General features: G+C 43.8%; 1 protein-coding gene across 12 annotated transcripts in view; it reads right to left on the bottom strand.

Moving 5' to 3' along the window:
- CASP10 (caspase 10) overlaps positions 1-16,699 on the bottom strand; it is a 46,266-nt gene extending 29,567 nt beyond the window's left edge. For 11 of the 12 annotated variants that reach the window (XR_923043.3, XR_923044.3, XR_007082551.1 and 8 more), the window contains exons 1-5: positions 16,532-16,699; positions 13,716-14,069; positions 12,041-12,134; positions 6,721-6,856; positions 3,892-3,998 (exon numbers count right to left, since the gene is read on the bottom strand). Coding sequence is in view for 9 of the 12 variants with exons in the window: in NM_032974.5 (NP_116756.2) it covers positions 3,892-3,998; positions 6,721-6,856; positions 12,041-12,134; positions 13,716-14,062 (684 nt within the window). In the remaining 3 variants the exon portion in view is untranslated. Of the gene's footprint in view, positions 1-3,891; positions 3,999-6,720; positions 6,857-12,040; positions 12,135-13,715; positions 14,070-16,531 lie in introns of those variants that run through there. The other variant, XM_047446016.1, reaches the window with a different exon arrangement.

Below are 22,613 nucleotides of genomic sequence, written 5' to 3'. Positions count from 1 at the left end.
CACTTTGGGAGGCTGGGGCAGGCAGATAACTTAGGTCAGGAGTACGAGACCAGCCTGGCCAACATGGTGAAATGCCATCTCTACTAAAAATACAAAAATTAGCCGAATGTGGTGGTGCATGCCTGTAATCTCAGATACTTGGGAGGCTGAGGCACAAGAATTGCTTTAACCTGGGAGGTGGAGGTTATAGTGAGCCGAGATCATGCCACTGTACTTCAGCCTGGGTGACAGGGTGAGACTCAGTTTCAAAAAAAAAAAAAAAAAAAAAAAGATTAAAGGAGACTAAAGGATCATGACAACTAAATACAATATTGTATTGTATTATATTGTATTTTTAATTTTTATTATTTTCTTTTAGAGAGGGTCTCACTATGTTGCCCAGGCTCACCTTGAACTCCTGGCCTCAAGTGGTCCTCCCACCTCGGCCTCCCAAAGTGCTGGGATTACAGGTGTGAGCCAACATACCCAGCCTTGTGTTGCATTTATATAGGATCCTATGTGGAATTTTGTACTAGATGGTTTAAAAACTGTCAAGGACATTATTGGGTTCAACAGACAAAATTGGAATATGGACCATTGATTTGATAAAAGTATTATATTAACATAACTTTACTGGCATTGATAATTGTGTTATAGTTCTGTAAAAGAATATCCTTATTATTAGGAAATACACACGAAAATATTTAGGAGTAAAAGGCCATGATGTATGCAACTTACTCTCAAAAAGTTCAGAAAAAAATTATGTGTGTGTGGAGAGAAAGGGAGAAAGAGAGCAAGTGTGAGTAAATGCACAAAAATAATAAAGCAAATGGGGTAAAACATCAACAACAGGTAGGTAAATCTAGGAAAACAGTACATAGGTATTCTTTATATTATTCACATTCTTGCAACTTTTCTATAAAATTGAAATTATTTTTAAATCTAAAAATTGTAACTGTAAAAATATCAGACCATGACAATAGTAAAGAAGCCATAAAAGAATTTTTAAGAATAAAATATAGGCCGGGCGCGGTGGCTCACGCCTGTAATCCCAGCACTTTGGGAGGCTGAGGCGGGTGGATCACGAGGTCAGGAGATTGAGACCATCCTGGCTAACACGGTGAAACCCCGTCTCTACTAAAAATACAAAAAATTAGCCAGGCGTGGTGGCGGGCGCCTGTGGTCCCAGCTACTTGGAAGGATGAGGCAGGAGAATGGTGTGAACACGGGAGGCGGAGCTTGCAGTGAGCTGAGATTGAGCCACTGCACTCCAGCCTGGGAGACAGAGCAAGACTCAGTCTCAAAAAAAAAAAAAAAAAAAGAATTAAAAAATAAAGGCCGGGTACGGTGGCTCACACCTATAATCCCAGCACTTTGGGAGGCCAAGGTAGGCAGATCACTTGAGGTCAGGAGTTCGAGATCAGCCTGGCCAACATAGTGAAACCCTGTCTCTATTAAAAAATACAAAAATTAGCCAGGTGTGTTGATGCGCGCCTGTAATCCCAGCTACTTGGGAGGCTGAGGCAGGAGAATCGCTTGAACCTGGGAGTTAGAGGTTGCAGTGAGCCATGACCCTGCCACTGCACTCCAGCCTGGGCGACAGAGTGAGACTCCGTCTCAAAAAAAAAAAAAAAAGAATTAAAAATAAAACTTCTACAAACAACCGAATTAGAAAATGAACAAAGGACTTGGACAGACATTTCTCTAAAGAAGATATACAAATCGCCAAAAGCACATGAGAAGATGCTCGACAGCCCTAGTCATTAAGGAAAGCAAATCAAAACCACAGGGAAATAGGACCTCACTTCCATTAGGATGCCTACTATCAAAAATGAAAGAGAATAATACGTCTTGGTGAGGAAGTGTTGCTGAGGATGTGTGCACAGCTGGTGGAAATGTAAAATGGTATAGTCACTGTGGAAAATAGAATGAAGGTTCCTCAAAAAATTGAAAATAGAATGACTATATAATCCACCATTTCCACTTATGGATACAAACCCAAAAGAATTGAAAGCAGCATTTCAAAGAGATATTTTTACACCAACATTCACAGCAGCGTTATTAAAAATAGTCAAAAGGTGGCAGCAGCCCAAGAGTCCATCAATGGATGAGTGGACAACAAAATGTAATACAGTGAGTCCTCACTCAGAGTCATCAGTAGGTTCTTGGTAACTCCGCCTTTAAGTGAAACAACGAACTGTATGCTATAGAAACTTAACTCTTAGGGCTTTTTGTTATCGTTTTTTGAGACAGGGTCTCACTCTGTTGCCCAAGCTGGAGTGCAGTGATGCAATCTCAGCTCACTGCAACCTCCACCTCCCAGGTTCAAGCTATTCTTGTGCCTCAGCCTCCCGAGTAGCTGGGATTATAGGCATGCACCACCACGCCCAGCTAATTTTGGTATTTTTAGTAGAGATGGGGTTTCGCTATGTTGGCCAGGCTGGTCTCGAACTCCTGGCCTCAAGTAAGCCGCCTGCCTTGGCCTCTCAAAGTGCTGGGATTGGAGGTGTGGGCCACCATGCCTGGCCAACTCTTGTTTATATCAATGAGCCTATGGTAAAATTGGTTTCATTATATGGTATGTGGCTGGGCGTGGTGGTACATGGCTGTAATCTCAGCACTTTGGGAGGATAAGGCGGGAGGATTGCTTGAGCCCAAGAATTTGAGACCAGCCTGGGCAACATAGCAAAACCTTATCTCTATAAAAAAAAATTTTAAATAAAAATAAATACATTATACAGTATGCTGTCACTTAAATTCAGTTTCCAAAAATCTATCAACCTTTTAAGTGAGGACTTACTGTATATACACACAGTGGAATATTATTCAGCCTTTAAAAAGGAAGGAAATTCTGAGATATGCTACAACTTGGATGAACCCTGAAGACTTTACACTAAGTGAAATAAGCTAGTCACAAACGAACAAATATTGTATGGTTCTACTTATATGAGGTACCCTGAAAAGTCAAATTTATAGAGAGAGAAAGTAGAATGGTGGTTTCCAGGGGTTGGAGGGAAGGAGAAAATGAGAAGTTATTGTTTAATGGGTACAAAGTTTTACTAAAAGAAGATGAAAAAGTTCTGGAGATGGATGGTGGTAATGTCTGCACAACAATGTGAAGGTATTTAACATTACTGAACTGTATACTTAAAATTGATTAAGATGGTAAATTTTGTTATGTGTATTTTATCACAGTTGAAAACAAAAACAAAACATTTCCCAGACCAAGCTAACTTCATTGATGCTGACAGATGTTGGCAAAGAAATTACCCAAGTCTGCTGGAAGAACCACAAATCCCAGGGAAGACTGTCACATATCTCCCAAGGATCATGATCACATGGTGAGGAACAGACTGCAAATTCTCCCAACGTTTCCCCTTCCACCCATCCTTTCAGAGCTGAGCACCACAGAAACCAGAAACCCTTGCCCTCTGGGTTGGCCAGCTACATGCTTGGCAAACCTCTTGTTCAATACATTAAGAATTTCAAAGCAGTAACAGCAGAGCATTAAACAAAAGCTCTGTACTTGAACTGTGGAATTACTATCAGACGCCCTGTGCTCCATAGATTATATGTCCCTAAAGCTGGCTCTAATTGCATCCCACAGATAAGAACAGAGGAACCATTTCAGAGCAACTCAGGGGTGTGGGGAGTCAGCTCAAACTAACTAGCGAGAACTCAAACTAACTAGCTCTCACTAGTCAGCTAGTGTCAGCCAACTGTTAAATTTTCAGAAAATGTGCACTCTGGTTGATATCATGTTGTTTACTTGCAATCACCATGGTGAGACCATTTACAATAAATGGTACAAACCGGGGCCTCTCTCTCTTTTTCTTTTTTGGGGTGGCAGGGAGGGGAGGTTGGAGGGTGGAGCCGGTTGTTAAGCATTGACCAGCACACCACTGAACCTACCGGTAAGGCTTCCAAGAATGTCTTAACATCTGTTTGGGAAACTAGTTCTTCCTCTCCTTGATACGACTCGGCTTCCTTGTCTACAGGAGGTGTCACTATCTGGATAGCTGAAAATAAAATCACAGACAGAAAAATAAAAATCACCTTCTGACTAGCAGCAGGAGAATTGCTTGAACCCAGGAGGCGGAGGTTGCAGTGAGCCAAGATTGCCCCACTGCACTGCAGCCTGGGGACAGAGTAGGAGTCCGTCTCAAAAAAAAGAAAAAAAAAATACTGAAGCAAACACCAAGGCTCAAGACAACTTAGAAAGTTAGCCAGGTGGTCCTTAAATAAAGCCAGTATCCTAGCTTGGACTTTGGATCACACACACTTACAGAAAAGTCTAAAGTCTGCACACCTACTCTTTAGTCCTTTAGTCTTTCATCTTAACAGCAGAATTAGGCTCAAACTCTTAGAACTAAAGAAAGTCAATATTAAAATATCAATAATGATTGACACCCAAAAGAGATCACACACAGGTAGGTTGTAGAAAAGAAAAATCAAAACTAGAACTCTGCTGATATAAAGCTCAGTCCTGGACCAGGCGCAGTGGCTCACGCCTGTAATCCCCACACAGATCACTTGAGGTCAAGAGTTTGAGACCAGCCTGGCCAAAGTGGTGAAACCCCATCTCTACTAAAAATACAAAAATTAGCTGGGCATGGTGGCGGGCATCTGTAATCCCAGCTACTCAGGAGGCTGAGGCAGAAGAATCGCTTGAACTTGGGAGGTGGAGGTTTCAGTGAGCCAAGATCATGCCACTGCACTCCAGCCTGGGCGACAGAGCAAGACTCCAGCTCAAATAAAAATAAAAATAAAAATAACAAAGCTCAAGCCGGGCGCGGTGGCTCACACCTGTAATCCCAGCACTTTGGGAGGCCGAGGCAGGCTGATCATGAGGTCAGGTGATCGAGACCATCCTGGCTAACATGGTGAAATCCCATCTCTACTAAAAATACAAAAATTAGCTGAGCGTGGTGGCAGGCGCTTGTAGTCCCAGCTACTTGGGAGGCTGAGGCGGAAGAATGGTGTGAACCTGGGAGGCAGATCTTGCAGTGAGCCAAGATCACACTACTGCACTGCAGCCTGGGCAACAGAGCGAGACTCCATCTCAAAAAATAAAAATAAAAAAAACAAAGCTCAGTCTTCAAGACTCACTGAGGCAAATGTAATCAACTACATAGAAACTAGTGTGTCTTCTTTAGAATTTAAATATCCAGAATAATATGACCACTTGCCCTATGTTTACTTTATATGGGATATGGCATTACAGAAAAATGACAATGTGTTTAGAAAAAAACTCAGAGCTCATGTGAGGATTTCAAATATTCTTTCCATATCAACCTTCTGCTTTTTATTTCTCATTTGATAATTTGATGATAGAAAGAACTGTTTTTATTCTTCATAACTTAAATTATGCATTTATTCATCATTTTATTGTTTGAGATTTTATCAGTTTGACAACAGTATATTTTGCTCCTCAACTCATTCTGTGTTAACCAAATTCTTAGACAGACATTTCCTCTTAGCTAGTTTCATTTTCAACCAAGAAATTTGCACACTAGAGTCACTCACTGAACTAAATTAAGGGTGTGGCATAAAAGTTTCATGAATACACTCATGAGTTTTTATGTATAGCGCTTGCTTAACAGTGGAGAAATGAACTCAGAAAAACACAGATATTTAGCGTACTGACACGTGGTAAGGCAGCCAGGTTTGACTTTTGCCCTGTGCTTCTATCTGTATAAAATATCACAGCAGAACTACCTTTATCAGACAGACTTAAAACACACACACACACACACACACACACACACACACAAGAAAATAAAGTTCTTTTTTGATAGTAGTTTCTGAGAATGTGAAGTCTTTATGACTTTTCTCTCTGAGAGAGCCATAATAGCCACATGTATAGAAGGCTTACTCCATGCCAGACATGCATTTTACAGAAATTATCTCATTCAATCCTCACAAAAACCTAGGAGGTAGGTACAATTATTATGCCCACTTTACAGATAGGGAAAGTGACACATAGAAAAGCCAAAAAAGTACCACTGCACCACTAGTAAGTGGAGTCCTGGCAATCCGACTCTATAGAGTCCACTCTTACCCCATGCTATCCTGCCTTCTTTTTCATGTTATTTCATTTAAAATAATTCCCTATACTCTCACTCCCATATTAGAATCAGAAAAAGACGTTTGTCTAAAACTACTTCCCTGCACTGGAATATAAGTTGCAAGAGGGCAGGAGCTTTGCTCTGTACTTTGCTATATCCTCAACTTCTAAAACAGTGCCTGGTACAAAATATGAACTCAACCAATATGTGTTGAATGAACGAAGGGGAAGATTTCTGGCTTTCCTAGCAGAATATTATCAGAATGATGAGTAAACATCATGCACGGGCCAGGCATGGTGGCTTACACCTATAATCCCAGCATTTTGAAAGGCCGAGGTGGGTGGATCACTTGAGGTCAGGAGTTCGAGACCAGCCTGGCCAACATAGTGAAACCCTGTCGCTACTAAAAATACAAAAATTAGCCAGGCGTGGTGGCAGGCTCCTGTAATCCCAGCTACTCGGGAGGTTGAGGCAGAAGAATCACTTGAACCCGGGAGGCGGAGGTTTCAGTGAGCCAAGATCACACCACTGCACTCCAGCCTGGGTGACAGAGTGAGTGAGACTCTGCCTCAAAACAAAACAAAACAAAACAAATAATCAAAACATCATGCATGGCCAATTGGTTTAAGAATTTCCATGGTCTGGTCCAAGTTAGCAATCACAAGCTACTTACCTTTCTCTCTTTTGTATTTCTCTATGTTTCTCAAAAGTTTAGGTACAACTGTTTTGCAGAGGTCCTCCAGGCATGTCAGATTATCTTCATCTATTTTACCTTGTTTCTCTAGAAATGCCAGGAAACTTAGGGAGGTCTACAAGAGAATCAATAGAGTTACATTTACTTGCCTATTGATTATCCACTCACTCAAATGTTATCTGCATGGCCAGTAGGCACTAGGTTTTGCACTGATAAATAAGATATAACAGCATCTGCCCTCAAGTTGCTCAGGAATGTAGGGGAAGAGGCATTACCAAGCAAATCTGTATACAATCTATATTAATACCAGATACCAAATATATATATAACTCTATGCAACAGGGACAGTGCTTGCTGTATATTAACAGCACAACAACTGAATAAGTAGATATTATTATAATCCACATTTTAAAGATGAAATAATTGAGGCACAAAGAAATTCCAGTAACTTGCCGAAGGTCACAAAGCTAATTAATGGCAGAGCTGGTACAATCTGATGCCAAAGTCTATGTTATTAACCACTGAACTCTAAGTCACAGCTTTAAATGATACTGCTTAGGAAGCCAGCAAAAGAGGGACACCAAAGAAATGAGGGGAAAATGTTTCGAAAGAATTTTATATTTGATATTTTAAAAGAAAAAGAATTTTCTGAAACAAAAAATCACAATTCAGCTATTATTATTATTATTATTATTATTATTATTTTGAGATGGAGTCTCTCACTCTGTCTCCCAGGCTAGAGTGCAGTAGTGCAATCTCAGCTCAAAGCAACCTCCACCTCCATTCAAGCCATTCTCCTGCCTCAGCCTCCTGAGTAGCTGGGATTACAGGCTCATGCCACCACATCCAGCTAATTTTTGTATTTTTAACAGAGATGGGTTTCACCATGTTGGCCAGGCTGGTCTCAAACTCCTGACCTCAGGTGATCTGCTTGCCTTGGCCTCCCAAAGTGCTGGGATTACAGGCATGAGCCACCCTGCCAGGCCAGAAACTCATGTCTTGACAGCATCCTACCAGGAGGAATAAAGGGCTAAGATGTGATTCCAGAAGCAATTACGGAAATTCATTATACTTTCTAAAAGTTTATTAGATGTTTAGTACATCACACACATACACACGCACATACTTAAATGGGACCTGGACATTAGTTTAACACCACTCTGGCAAATACTAGCAGCAAACATCTGAAAGTTCTTTTTTTGCTTTTTTGTTAAAGAGTAAGTTCAGGTGTGGTTTCCTTTAGACTCAATGTTGTATGCTGATTGCTGTGCTGAGAACGGATTTCCTGACAGTTGTGAGATCTCTCAGGATATGTGTAGGCCAGCTATACTGCTTACATTTCTATGAAAGCTATCAAAGACAAAGCCCAGAATGCCCCTCAAAGGCAAGGTTATTTGTGTTTCCCCAGAGAGACTGTAAGAATTTAGAACCTTTCCGTTTTGGCTGAGGGGTGTTCAGGCCCTTTTCCAATGGTGGGTAAGTAATTTATTTCTGTGATAAGGTCTTTTGCAATTGCAGTTGCAGATAATGCAGCCTCACTGAGCCCTGGTGTGGAAACATCTGTGTTGCTTAGAGACTGTCCTTTACACACTTCCAAAGGCTGGTCTGATTGCAAAATCCAATACAGATCAACCTGGATTATCTGAGGTGTGTAACTCAGCCACAATTCTGACACAAAAAATGAGATCTCCCCACCCCGCCCCCAACAAAAAAAAGCTGAGATCATTTGGAATCCAAAGAGGAAATATGGTTTTCCTGAATTTGACCTGGTAATATCACAATTCCATGCCACAGCTAAGCACAGTTACGTTTCCTTTTACTGTTATACTGAGAAAAACAAGATCATTTGGCCACATGAACATGTGCATTTGATCATTTAAAAGCTATTTTAGTAGGGGGGAAATGTTTGGAATGCTTCTGACCATAAAAATAATTCTGGGCAGGCACAGTGGCTCATACCTGTAATCCCAACACTTTGGGAGGCTGAGGCAGGTGGATCACCTGAGGTCAGGAGTTCAAGACCAGCCTGGCCAACATGGTGAAACCCCACCTCTACTAAAAATACAAAAATTAGCTGGGTGTGGTGGTGGGCGCCTGTAATCCCAGCTACTCAGGAGGCTGAGGCAGGAGGATCACTTGAACCCAGGAGGCAGAGGTTGCAGTGAGCCGAGATGGCACCATTGCACTCCAGACTGGGCAACAAGAGTGAAACTCTGTCTAAAAATAATAATAATAATAATAATAATAATTCTGTAGCCACAGATGCCTTCAAGTAGAGTTCTAGAACCTGTGCAAGCAAAAGAGAAAAAAAAACATTTTCCAGCTTTTCTTGTTTGAAAACTAACACTCAGTGTTTCGAATATCAGAGATTGCTTTAACAAATGACCTTTCTCTCGTCCCTCACCCGCCACCTCATATTGTTCAGAGAGTCCCTAACATAGGACGGGGTATAACAATAAAAAGTGGTCTCATTTTATGTATAAACCTAGACACTGGAAAATTTGTGAGCGGATGCCCCAACTTGGGAGAGAATGTTATGAAAACCACCTGGAGCGCTTGTCAAACTACAGGAATCTCCTCTGACTTTGAGAAATTCTGTATTTAAGGTATAATGCTACCATTTGAGCAGGTAATTGCTTTGTACCACTGCAAATGTGGGCACTGAAATTTTACGGCAAAAGCAGAAGATCCTTACAATGTTTTATAAAAAAGAATTCCCTAAAACAAAATCGCCTGATTTTTAAAATTCTCCAAGAATTACTGAACCTTTAGGTCATGTGTGTGTGTGCATGTGTGTGTGTGTGTGTATACATATGTGTATATACGTAGTGTGTGCATATATATTTACTCAAAAGCAATGAGCATGCCAGCATCGAGTTTGTGGTCTTGAAATGACATCTCTCATTAAAAGAAGTCAGGATTTTTGGGAGAAATGAGAGATTCCAGGACTGGGTAGAAAATATACAAGATGAACCTGGGATATTTTTGCCAGATAGTAAAGAAGCCATCAAAGACTACTAAGGTCATGTCAAAATGACTTAGGAACCAAACTGAAGATGTATCCCCTGGGAAAAAATGGGACAATTGAACTATTTTTTTGAGACAGGGTCTCACTCTGTTACCCAGGCTGGAGTGCAATGGCACAGCCATTGCTCACTGCAGCCTTGACTTCTCTGGGCTCGAGCGATCCTCCCATGTCAGCCTCCTGAGGAGCTGGGACTACAGGTGCACGCCACCACACCCAGCTAATTTTTGTATTTTTTGTAGAGACCGGGTTTTGTCATGTTGCCCAGTCTAGTCTCAAACTCCTGAGGCTCAAGTGACCTGTCCACCTCAGACTCCCAAAGTGCTGGGATTACAGGCATGAGCCACCATGCCCAGCCTCAGTTTGAACTTCAGTAAGGATAATAATTGCAGTAGATTGAAATACCTCACATATGTTTAAATCCATGAGTTTAAATTTATATATATTTTGTAATGGGTCACCTTCAGAGAATGATAAGATACCAATTAACTTAAAAACTGGATAACTAGGCAAAGCACAGTGGTTCATGCCTGTAATCCCCAGAACTTTGGGAGGCTGAGGCAGGTAGATCACTTGAGGTCAAGAATTTGAGACCAACCTGGCCAAATGAAACCCTGTCTCTACTAAAAATACAAAAATTAGACAGGCATGGTGGTGCCTGCTTGTAATCCCAGATATTCAGGAGGCTGAGGCAGGAGAATCACCTGAACCTGGGAGGCAGAGGTTGCAGTGAGCCAAGATCACACCACTGAACTCCAGCCTGGATGACCAAGTGAGACACCGTCTCAAAAAAAAAAAAAAAATAACTGAAAGAAAAGAATCAAGGATTCACATATAAGCTGTATCACTGGGTAACCAAATAATGGATGAAGGGAAAACGAAATGATACAATTCTAATATGTGGCCGGGTATGGTGGCTCACACTTGTAATCTCAGCACTTTGGGAGGCCGAGACGGGTGGATCACCTAAAGTCAGGAGTTCCAGACCAGCCTAGCCAATATGGTGAAACCCTATCTCTACTAAAAATACAAAAAGTTAGCCAGGCGTAGTGGCAGGCTGCTGTAATCCCAGCTACTCAGGAGGCTGAGGCAGGAGAATCGCTTGAACCCAGGAGGCAGAGGTTGTAGTGAGCTGAAATTGTGCCATTGCACTTCAGCCTGGGTGACAAGAGTGAGACTCCATCTCAAAAAAAAAAAAAAATTCTAATATCTCCATTTTTGCAACCCCTCAAAATTCAATATATAAAATGGTTGAACATCAACAGTTGCTAATATCAAAGAAAAAGAGAGAGAAAATCAGGTACCTCCTGATGAAAAAACAAGACTACCTATAGTCTTGCCAAACGGATCTGACCTGAGTCTGATGAAGCCTCTGGATTCAGCTGCCAGTCTGCAGGAAATGCAGAGGACAGAGGAACATGCCAAACTGCACCACGAGTGTGCAATCAGCAAAACTCAGCCTGTGAGAAACTCCACAGGCCAACCGCCCAGAGATTCTTCAACAGATACATTTTAAGAAAAAGAAAGAGATTTGGGGGCAGGGAGGAAATCTAACCTACAGATTAAAAGGCACTTGAAAGAAAAAACTGGACAAGGCCAGGTGCGGTGACTCACACCTGTAATCCCAACACTTTGGGAGGCCAAGGCAGGCAGATCACTTGAAGTCAGGAGTTCTAGACCAGCCTGCCCAACAGGGTGAAACCCTGTCTGTACTAAAAATACAAAAATTAGCTGGGCATGGTGGTGCATGCCTGTAATCCCAGCTACTAGGGAGGCTGAGGTAGGAGAATGGCTTGAACCCAGGAGGTGGAGGTTGCAGTGAGCTGAGATCATGCCACTGCACTCCAGCCTGGGCAACAAGGCAAGACTTCGTCTCAAAAAAAAACAAAAACAAAAACAAAACACAACAGATTCCAACAGAAGTGAGCATTTACTGAATGCTATACCAAATATTGGCCTCATGCTAATGCTTCATGAACATTATTCCAGCTAATTCTCCCAACAATCCTAGAAGGAAGTCATACGATTGCCCACAATTTTACGTCTAAGAAAATAGAGACTCAGAAAAGTTCAATCATTGGCCTCACAGCATGGGTTTAGAATTAGAATCAGGACCAGAATCTAGGCTCATCCAGCACCAAAGCCAATGTTCGTAACCATTGTATGATACTGTCTCCCATAAAAAATAAATCTCCCTAAAAACCCTTTCCAGCATCTTTCTAATCATTGATTAAGACAGTGCTCACACAGACCCATTCTGTATGACCCACTCACCATTTCAGTTTTGGGAAGCGAGTCTTTCAGAAGGAAGATCATGTCCTTTAAGTTCTCTGAGTCAATGCCTTCTGACAGTTCGTAGAGCAGGTTTCTAAGACACACACCCAAAATGACAAATAAAGCCTTACACTTGTGGAGGACACCATAATCAATCAAGTGCTTTCATAAATGTTTTCTGTCATTTGAATGATCAACTCTATGTGTAGACAATTATTAATCCCATTTATAGGTTCAAAAAATGAAAACTTTCAGTTTCTAAGTGACTTGTTTAAATAAAGATAACACAGTAAGTGGTAGAAGCAGGCCTTCTGACTCCAAGTCTAATGCTGTTTTTCACCACACTAAGAAGGCATATTTAAAAAAAAAAAGGCATAAAACACAATTCTGACATGCCTTCCCATCTCCTGATTCCATCAAGAAATTCAGGCTTACTTTACAGGCCCTTGGTAGATAGGACCCCAGGCCAGCCAAGGTACAGTCGGTTGTATATTGAAAAGGGAAGAAAACTACCCCAGCTTCGAGATATAATCCACAACCAGAAACAGTGAGGATTTCATCCACATACTAACACCCCTATGTGTCAGAGACTGTCCCTCAGATGTTTAGCCAGCAGAATGGAAATATGGATTTCTGGAATTCATCATTCCTTCCACTGACTCAAGGGCAACTCAGGTTCTGGAAGCCAGTTCCACCGCTAAGGCTTAATGTGTTCTAATCGCAGAGACCATAAAACACCCTCCAAAGGCTCCTCTTCGTGAGGTTCTCTGATGTGGACACTATGTCAGTGAACAATTTTAAACACTGTCATCAGCCTGGCACAGTGGCTCACACCTATAATCCCAGCACTTTGGGAGGCCGAGGTGCGTGGATCACTTGAGGCTAGGAGTTCCAGACCAGCCTGGCCAACATGTTGGAAACCCTGTCTCTACTAAAAATACAAAAATTAGCCAGGTGTGGTGGTGGGTGCCTGTAGTCCCAGCTACTCAGGAGGCTGAGGCAGGAGAATCGCTCGAACCCAGGAAGCGGAGGTTGCAGTGAGCTGAGATGGTGCCACTTCACTCCAGCCTGAGTGACAGAGCGAGACTCTGTCTCAAAATAAAAATAAAACGCTGTCATCCATGATAAGACCAATGCCTAAATTTTACCTCTTTGGGCAAAATGCCTGTTTTTACCTTTCTGGATTCCCACCCAAAAATATAGAAATTTCTATAACTAGACATGGCATAAATGACATCCCTCCCTACCCCAGAAACACATCTCTTTTTTCATCTTGCTTATTTCACTCCAAGTATGCATTACTCTCTTCTCAAGACCCCGGGAAACAGGTAGACAGACTAGTGGATCCCAGGAGGGAGAAGATCTGCACGTGTAGCCGCTGGTAAGCAGGGAAAACACGGGCTCTGCCACACTGAGGTGGGCTTCACTGCTAGTGAGAAGCAAAACAAAGGGAAGCCACCTCTGGGCCCAGGGCTTGGTCTTGAAGCTTTGCTGACCTCCCAACTCTTATCTCATTAGCATCAGAGGCTGAGAAGGAGGTTTAGAATCTCCTGGTTTATCATCCAAGGAGGTAGATAACCAAAAGATCTTAACTGCAGCTTCCTTTCAAAGCCCAATGGCCAGAATGAACACTAGATGGGAGATCCTCCCATCTCCACCACAGACCCGTCCTCACCTAAACAGAGAAACCCTTTGTCGGGTGGGCAGCAGTCGCTCCACTTCCTCTTTGGTACAGTTGAGGTGCTGCAGCAGCTTCTTCTGCCGTATGATATAGAGGAGTTCTGCCAGGAAGAAAGGGTCTTCCTCACTCAGCAGATCCTCTGCCAAGAGATGTTCAAAAACATCTGAGGCTGAGCTGGACTTCTCCAGCTTCTTGTTGGGGACCAATCCTATGCAGAGAAACTTGAGGTTCTCCACATCTTGGACCCCCAGGTTTGAATCAATAATCAGAAGCTTCTCACGAAAGCTCACTTTACAGTTTTTATCTGAACTGGAATACCAATGTTGACCTTGAGATTTCATGGCCAGCCTGAAAGGGACAGAGAGGTGGGGCAGGGAGTTAGAGAGTGAGGACATATGGCCCCCTGACTTCCCAGGCCCTCCCCTCACCACAACCTTCTCCGTTCTGGGCATTAGACTTTCCTAGAAGTGCTGAAAAATAAAAATTACGGCGAGGCTACTTCAAAAAGCAACAGCCCAGAAAACTTTTCCCCAACACTTGCAAGTTACTTTTTAGGAAACTTGGAGGGTGCTTATATTGGAATTCAATTCACCTTGATTTCTCCCAAATCAAAATGTTCCCAGAGAGAGAAAGTTAAGATGGAGGGACACAGCACAATTTTTCTCAAGCCTGGTAGCCTGATTGGAGCCCTTACATTCATTTCCAGCACGTGGCAGAAATAGCACTTGGCTCTATGCTTTAAGTTTTAGACACAAAGCAATCTGGGGGAGGCAGGGTTATCCTTATGATCTATCAACCCAAAGACAGCAAGGTACCGTGAGGTATGTGTGTTACATCTTAACTTCAGACTGCTACCTGTAAGAGGGCAGGCCTTTATCTTACAGAAAGGGAAGGCATAATCCTAGACCTCAAGCCTGAGCAACATGGCGAGACCTGGTCTCTACTAAAAATACAAAAAATTATCAGGGCATGGTGGCACATGCCTGTGGTCCCAACTACTCAGGAGGCCGAGGATGGAAGGATCATTTGAGCCTGGGGAGCACAGGTTGCAGTGAGCCATGATCATGCCACTGCACTTCACCCTGGGTGACAGAGTGAGACCCTGTTTCAAAAAGAAAAATAAATAAATAAAATATCCTAGACCTCAGGAGGAAAGGGTGGTTTTAGACAAGAGTTGCTCAAATCAGTGTAGGAAGTTAAAAATTACATGAGTCGGCTGCTCTGTCTATGGAGTAGCCATTCTTTTGTTTCTTTACTTCTCTAATAAACTTGTTTTCACTAAAAAAAAACAAATTACATGAGTCAATGTTTCCATCTGATCAGTTTATAAACTATGCTATTCTCTATACTAAATTTCATCATAATCAGAGGAGCAATGCAGTGATAAAATTTTCATTGTAATACTATTTATTCTATAAGCACTTGAGGTATGTAGTCAATATGCAGAACTTGGCTATTTTTAGAAACAAGAAAATACTTTATAAAGGAAGGAACAGGTGGGGTGTCATGGCTTACGCCTATAATCCCAGCACTTTGGGAGGCCAAGGCGGGTGGATCACTTGAGGCCAGGAGTTCAAGACCAGACTGGGCAACGTGGTAAAACCCCATCTCTACAAAAAATACAAAAATTAGCCAGGCATGGTGGTGCACGCCTGTGGTCCCAACTACTCAGAGGGCTGAAGCAGAAGGATCATTTGAGCCCCGGGGATGGAGGTTCCAGTGAGCCATGATTGTGCCACTGCACTCCACCCTGGGTGACAGAGCAAGACCCTGCCTCAAAAACAAAACAAAACAACAACAAAAAAACCTCCTAGACCTCAGAAGGAAAGGGTGATTTTAGACAAGAGTTGCTCAAATCAGCGAAGGAAGATAAAAATTACATGAGTCAATGTTTCCATCTGACTAGTCTATAAACTATGGTATTCTACATACTAAATTTCATTATAATCAGAGAAGCACTTCAGGAGACTGAGGCAGGTGGATCACTGTGAGGCCAGGAATTCGGGACAAGCCTGGGCAACACGGTGAAACCCCGTCTCTACAAAAAATACAAAAATTAGCTGGGCTTGGTGGTGTATGCCTGTGGTCCCAGCTTCATAGGAAGCTGAGATGGGAGGATTGCTTGAACCTGGGAGGCGGAAGTTGCAGTAAGCCAAGATTGTGCCACTGCACTCCAGCTTGAGTGCTGGAGGGTGAAAGAGGGAGACTCCGTCTCAAATAAATAAATAGATAAATAAATAAATAAATAAATAAATAAATAAAGGAAGGAAGACACAGCAAAAATCAAAACCTCCATAACAAACAGTGGTTATATCGAGGTGACATAACTATAGATAATACAAATTTCCTTCTGGGCTTCCAATTGAATTTCTCAAATTTTATGCATATGTGAGCATACACATTACTTTTGGTGTTAAAAGAAACAAAAAAATGTCATTTTTAATGTGATAATCCAGGGGATCTTCCCTGCTACTAGCCCTGAGGTCAAATGAGTGGTTTATTGGAGACACCTTTCTATTCTACCGCATCTAGCATTTGCCTTGTGGTTTCTTGACAATTCTGATCTCTAGTTTTAGTGAGTCTACCAAACTTTGTCTCTGTGAGCTAACATATTTCTGCCCCGGTAAAAGGCTATGTTGGAGGCTTCCGGATTTTTTAACTTTTGTTTTCCCAGGCATGACAAAGAAATCTAAGAAAAAATAGTGCCATTGCTGACAAGTTTTTGCAAGTTTCTACAACACGAAGCCATGAAGCAAAGGAAAAGATTCAAGCATGAGACTCTGGAGTAAGAAGGGTTGTTAATTACATACCTTCAGATCAAGCTCCACCAATCTTCTGGAAGTAAACGGTTCTCAGGGAAATTGCCTGAAAACAAAGTTTTAAAGAAAGTAGAATCCTCTGTGTGCTCCAAGGTCCAAAGAAGCTCCCATTTGCTTGGGAAGAGACTTCAAGACTTGCTGGTTGTTTAAGTGAAAACTGAATCTTCAGGACTGGGTAGCCTGATACTAGTTTCCTGCTGATGTCATCACTGCTTATCTGCCTTTTTCCCTCCCCTTTTCCAGGGTTAAGATAACTTTGACAAACAGCGTCTCCTAAAGGCTAATTTACAACTTTCTCACTGTAGAGCTTGGGGTTTCCCCAGGTAAAGCAAAAGCTTCCTAGAAACGAACCCGTGGAAGCCACAAAGTGCTTCAGGCTTTCCTTTGGATCTCCATTTCCTTGGTAAGTCAAAAAGGGAAGCATCTGTTTTCCTAACCAACTCCTTCCCCAAACACACTTCACTTTTCAAATAAAGCCAAAAAGCTCATGAAATAGTTGTCGGCCATGTTAACCCTTTCTTATGTCCACATGCAAATAAACAATGGAGCGATCTCCACTTACCGCAACCTCTGCCTCCTGTGTTCAAGTGATTCTCCTGCCTCAACCTCCCGAGTAGCTGGGATTACAAGCATGCGCCACCACGCCCGGCTAATTTTTTGTATTTTTAGTAGAGACGAGGTTTCACCATGTTGGCCAGGCTGGTCTCGAACTCCTGAGCTTGTGATCCACCCTCCTTGGCCTCCCAAAGTGCTGGGATTACAGGCATGGAGCCACCGTGCCCGGCCCACAAATAAAATTTTTAAAAGATAAAAGAAAAGTGGGGATTCACTTTCAGTCTTTGTGGGAGAAATTAAGAAATAAAAAGAAAAAGAAAGGAAAAAAAAAAGAAAAGTGGGGATGGTGAATTACAAGCCCATTTGGAGGTACCTGCAAGAGACTCAACAAATTTGTGGTAGGCAAAACTGACAGTATGTGTTCTCACAGCACATTCAAACCAGCAGGAAAGTGAGACTTTGAAGACATTATTTCTAATCATAAAAACAATACTGCACACTAATATTGCAACTACCATGTGCCAGGGCATTTACAAATATTTACTCATTTCACCATCCCAACAACACTGTAAGATAAATACTATTACTATGACTGCTGCTTTAACATGTGAAAACTAAGGCACAGAAAGGTTAATTAATTTGCCCAAGGTCACACAGTGAGCGGCTGGAAGAGCCAAGATTTAAACCAGCAAGTTTGGATCAAAGTCACTACACTATAATTAAGCTAACTCAAATGTGCAGCACTCTGGAAAGAGGTACAGAGTCTTAGAAAGATGTTTTATCTATGGGGAAAAAAAGCAAGATTTATGATGCTTTGATTAGCAAATGTATTAAAATGTCCTTTCCATGTCCTAGGCATCATTCAGAGAACTTCTGTGCTTAAGAAAGACAAGTCCTGGGGCCAGGTGCAGTGGCTCCCGCCTGTAATCCCAGCACTTTGGGAGGCTGAGGCAGGCGGATCACGAGACCAGCTTGGCCAAGATGGTGAAACGCTGTCTCTACTACAAATACAAAAAATTAGCTGGGCGTGGTGGCACACACCTGTAATCCTAGCTGCTCGGGAGGTTGAGGCAGGATAATCGCTTGAAGGCAGGAGGTGGAGGTTGCGGTGAGCGGATATCACGCCATCACACTCCAGCCTGGGCTACAGAGCAAGACTCCTTCTCAAAAAAAAAAAGAAAAGAAAAAGACAAGTCCTGGCCAGGCACAGTGGCTCACACCTGTAATCCCAGCACTTTGGGAGGCTGAGGTGGGCAGATTGCTTGAGGTCAGGAGTTCAAGACCAGCCTGGCCATCATGGTGAAACCACATCTCAACTAAAAACATAAAATTCGCCAGGCTTGGTGGCACATGCCTGTAATCCCAGCTACTAGGAGGCTGAGGCTGGAGAATCGCTTGAACCCGGGAGGCAGAGGTTGCAGTGAGCCAAAATCGTGCCATTGCACTCCAGCCTGGGCGACAGAGAAAGACTCTCTCAAAAAAAAAAAAAAAAAAAACCTTCTTGGGAAAGGGGGGCCGGAGCACAGCAGGCTGGGTTACTCACTACCCCAGTTCCAGGGAAGGTGGGGCCCTGACCCTAGAATGCTGCAGCAGAGTGAGGAGGGGGCCCCAACTGACCATAAAGAGTGTAGGGACCACCTTCTTTGCCTGTTCTGTTGGGACCAGGCTAGTCATTATTTGTCCCAGCCTGGGGCTCCCCCTGTGGTTTCCAATTTGCAGTTACTTTAACTTAAAATATAAATATTATTTTCTGGAAAATAACTTAAAAAGGAAGAAAGACAAGCCGTAAGTCTTGGTCTTCTATTTAGTTGTTTTATTATAAATATTAAATTTATTGGGCCATTTAGGGAGGCAACTTATTGAAACTATCACTTTCTCTCACTCTGTTCATAAAGTATATTAACTCTTTCAACTTTGATTCAATAATATTAAATATTTAGCAGGCAATTCAAAGCCCTGAATTGGGCACAATTGGAAAGCAAAGTGACCTGCTTTCCATAGTAACTATGGCGACCGGTACTACCATTTCTAAACTTCTCTGATGAACTCATAACAACTCCCAGCCTTAGCTGGCATTATTATCCACATTCAATAGATGAGGAAACCCAGATTCAGAGAGGCAAGGAATCTTGCCACCATCCCAAAGCTATGAGCAAGAATTCAGGGCTCAAACGTGGGTCTCTCTGACTCCGAACCCCTTGCTCTTGATCCCCGGGCTACCATTGCCCGAATCTCAGTATGACATCGTGTAGCATCTGTAACTGCGGGCAGGGGGTGGTGATGCCACAGTGAGGCTTCACTTTGGTGCCACAGGGGCTTTAAGAAGGGACAATCAGTCAGACATTCCTTGGAGGAGGAAGTATTTGATCTAGGTCTGGAAGGTAAAGGTAGAATAAAGACCCAGGAAGTAAAACTGTAACTTTTATCCTACTGCTCCAGGGAAACATTTGAATCAGGTTACAGAGGGGAGATGGCGTGCAGTGCAGATATTTGTACTCAGCATTTTCTACTTCCTCCTACACACAGTTACTGAGGGCATGTTGATGGTGGTAGAATAAACACGTCTTACAATCTCTTTCCTGATTGGTTGCAGTCTACTGAGTGCACGTGAAGGGCCAATCAAAACCTTCATGGCCTTTTGTAGAGGTGGATGTCAACTACTGCTTTAGTTCCACATTAGTAGGGGGTAGTGGTAGCAGTGGTTGGCTTTCCTTGACATACAATCTGTGGTCCAAGTTCCCCACCCTCTGTCTGGGTAGACTAAAGGGTAATGACTCCTGGCTGGGCACGGTGGCTCACACCTGTCATCTCAGCACTTTGTGAGGCCGAGGTGGGTGAATCACCTGAGGTCGGGAGTTTGAGACCAGCCTGACCAACATGGAGAAACCCCATCTCTACTAAAAATACAAAATTAGCCGGGCATGGTGGCACATGCCTGTAATCCCAGATACTCAGGAGGCTGAGGCAGGAGAATCACTTGAACCCGAGAGGCAGAGGTTGCAGTGAGCCGAGATCATGCCATTGCACTGCAGCCTGCATAACAAGAGCGAAACTCCATCCAAAAAAAAAGAGTAATGACTCCTAAAGGATTGGCATAAGCCATGGGGGAGGAGGAAGGGATATACTGGCTAGAGAAGAGCTCAGAGCACTGAAACCTCCACCCCAACCTATGAGGGTCCTCAGAAGGTCTTGAAGTAGCAAGTCTTCTAGATTTGACACCCCCAACCTCCAAGACCTCCTTACCCCCACTTTGCTCCATACCTTTGTTACGGGATCTTTGGGGTATCAATTTTCTGGCTGGAAACCTCTCTGACTGCAGCACCTTTGCCCGAGTTCTGGCCTGCGTCCAGGAAGAATGAGGTACACAGACAAGTGAAGGGTGAACAAGATGAAGAAGAGCTTTATTTAGTGCTAGAACAGCTCAGAGGAGGCCCACAGTGGGTAGCTCCTCTCTGTAGGCAGGTCATCTGTCCAGTGCTCAGTTCTCAGTGGAGAGGAGGCCCTGGAAAGGGTGGCTTCTCTCTGCTGGCAGGTTGTCTCTGCAGCTCTCAGTGGAGAAGGTAGCTCTTCTCTGCAGCCAGCCATCCCATTGTCTCCAGCTATCAGCAGAGAGTACTCCTCTCTGCAGCTGGTCATCCCACCACCTCTCTGCCCTCTTTGTCCTCTGGCCATCCTCTGCCCTGCTCTGGCTGAGCCCAGGGCTTTTATGGACCTCAGAGAGGAGGAAGTGGCTGCCAATTTGTCCACGGGCACCCAGAAGAGGCACCATGAGTCCCTACTACAATCCACAGGACTGGCAGCCCCACCCCCAGCCTTCAGCCCTCCCTGGCCTGAAGGAGGACCTTACTGGGGACCTGCCCCCTTCTGCCTCCCATTGCCATTCAAGGCCCCAGGACTTGGCCCCAACCCCACTTCAAGATTGGAGAAGGTGCCAGGAGTGAAGAGAGGCCAGGCAGCGGGAGCAGACACCCCCAAGCCTGCGGGATGGGGTGGGAGGGGGTCCTTCCTGGGGCCCCCAGGGTGCAGGCTGCAGAGATGCCCAGGTCCTGCACCTAGGAGGGTGGCTGCAGCCACACCCTGGTGTTGGGAACAGTCCCCCAAATCTGGCCATAAACTGACCCGAAAACTGGCCATAAACAAAATCTCTGCAGCACTGTGACATGTTCTTGATGGCCATGATGGCCACGCTGAAGGCTGTTGTTTTACCGGAATGAGGGCAAGGAACACCTGGCCCACCCAGGGCGGAAAACTGCAAAAAGGCATTCCTAAACCACAAACAATAGCATGAGTGATATGTGCCTTAAGGATATGTTCCTGCTGCAGATAACTAGCCAGAACCCATCCCTTTGTTTCGGCCCATCCCTTTGTTTCCCATAAGGGATACTTTTAATTAATCTATAATCTATAGAAACAATGCTTATCACTGGCTTGATGTCAATAAATATGTGGGTAACTCTCTGTTCGGAGCTGTCAGCTCTAAAGGCTGTCAGCCCCCTGATTTCCCACTCCACACTCTATATTTCTGTATGTGTGTCTAATTCCTCTAGCACCACTGGGTTAGGGTGTCCGTGACCAAGCTGGTCTCTGCACCCAGGAAGGCAGATCCTGCCTGCTCCCAGCCCTCCTCCAAGAGCACAGGGGGGCTCAGATCCACAGCCGCAGTCTGGGTGGCTGGGTTTGGGCAGCTGCAGCAGCACCCGAGGAGCTCCCGCTCCAACTCAGAAGGTGGGGGGCACCCACCAGCTCCGTGGAGTGTGCACCCAGAGCCATGCCTCCCTGCTGCAGCCAGCATGATGGCAGCAGCCACTGCCATCGCCTTTATCCACACATTCCAGACCTTCCCAGACCTGTCATATGTGGTATATGGCATGAAACTAAGGTCTGAAGGAGTAGACTTTTTCTGTTAAAGACCCCATCAGAGATTTCCAGATAGTCAACAGGAAAGAGACGATAGCTAGACAAGTAAAATGCAACCAGGCCCGGGCAGTGTGGTGCTGTCTCCTATAGTACCAGCTATTGAGGAGGCTGAGGTAGGAAGATCACTTGAGCCTAGGAGTTGGAGACCAGCCTGGGCAACATAGAAAGATCCCATCTCCAAAGAAAAAAAGTGACCCATTTTGTGTTTGCTATGCCACATAATAGAAGAACAGAGCAGCTAGGAAATTCTGGGGTGGCAAAACCTCAAAGTTCCGCAAGATGGCAGTAGTTCCTAAAAGTTAAATTAGCAATAGTTTGTCTAGGGAACTAGGTGGACGTGGTTAAATTGAGTAATGTAGGCTGGGTGTGGTGGCTCATGCCTGTAATCCCAGCACTTTGGGAGGCTGATGCAGGCGGATCACCTGAGGTTAGGAGTTTGAGACCAGCCTGGCCAAATGATGAAACCCTGTCTCTACTGAAAATACAAAAAAATTAGCCGGGCATGGTGGTGGGCGCCTGTAATCCAGGAGGCTGAGGTAGGAGAATCTCTTGAACCTGGGAGGCGGAGGTTGCAGTGGGCCGAGATCATGCCATTGCACTC

This window comes from Homo sapiens, chromosome 2 (assembly GCF_000001405.40).
Source record: "Homo sapiens chromosome 2, GRCh38.p14 Primary Assembly".
NCBI classification, from domain to species: domain Eukaryota; kingdom Metazoa; phylum Chordata; class Mammalia; order Primates; family Hominidae; genus Homo; species Homo sapiens.
This window is presented reverse-complemented; position numbering and strand designations above follow the sequence as displayed.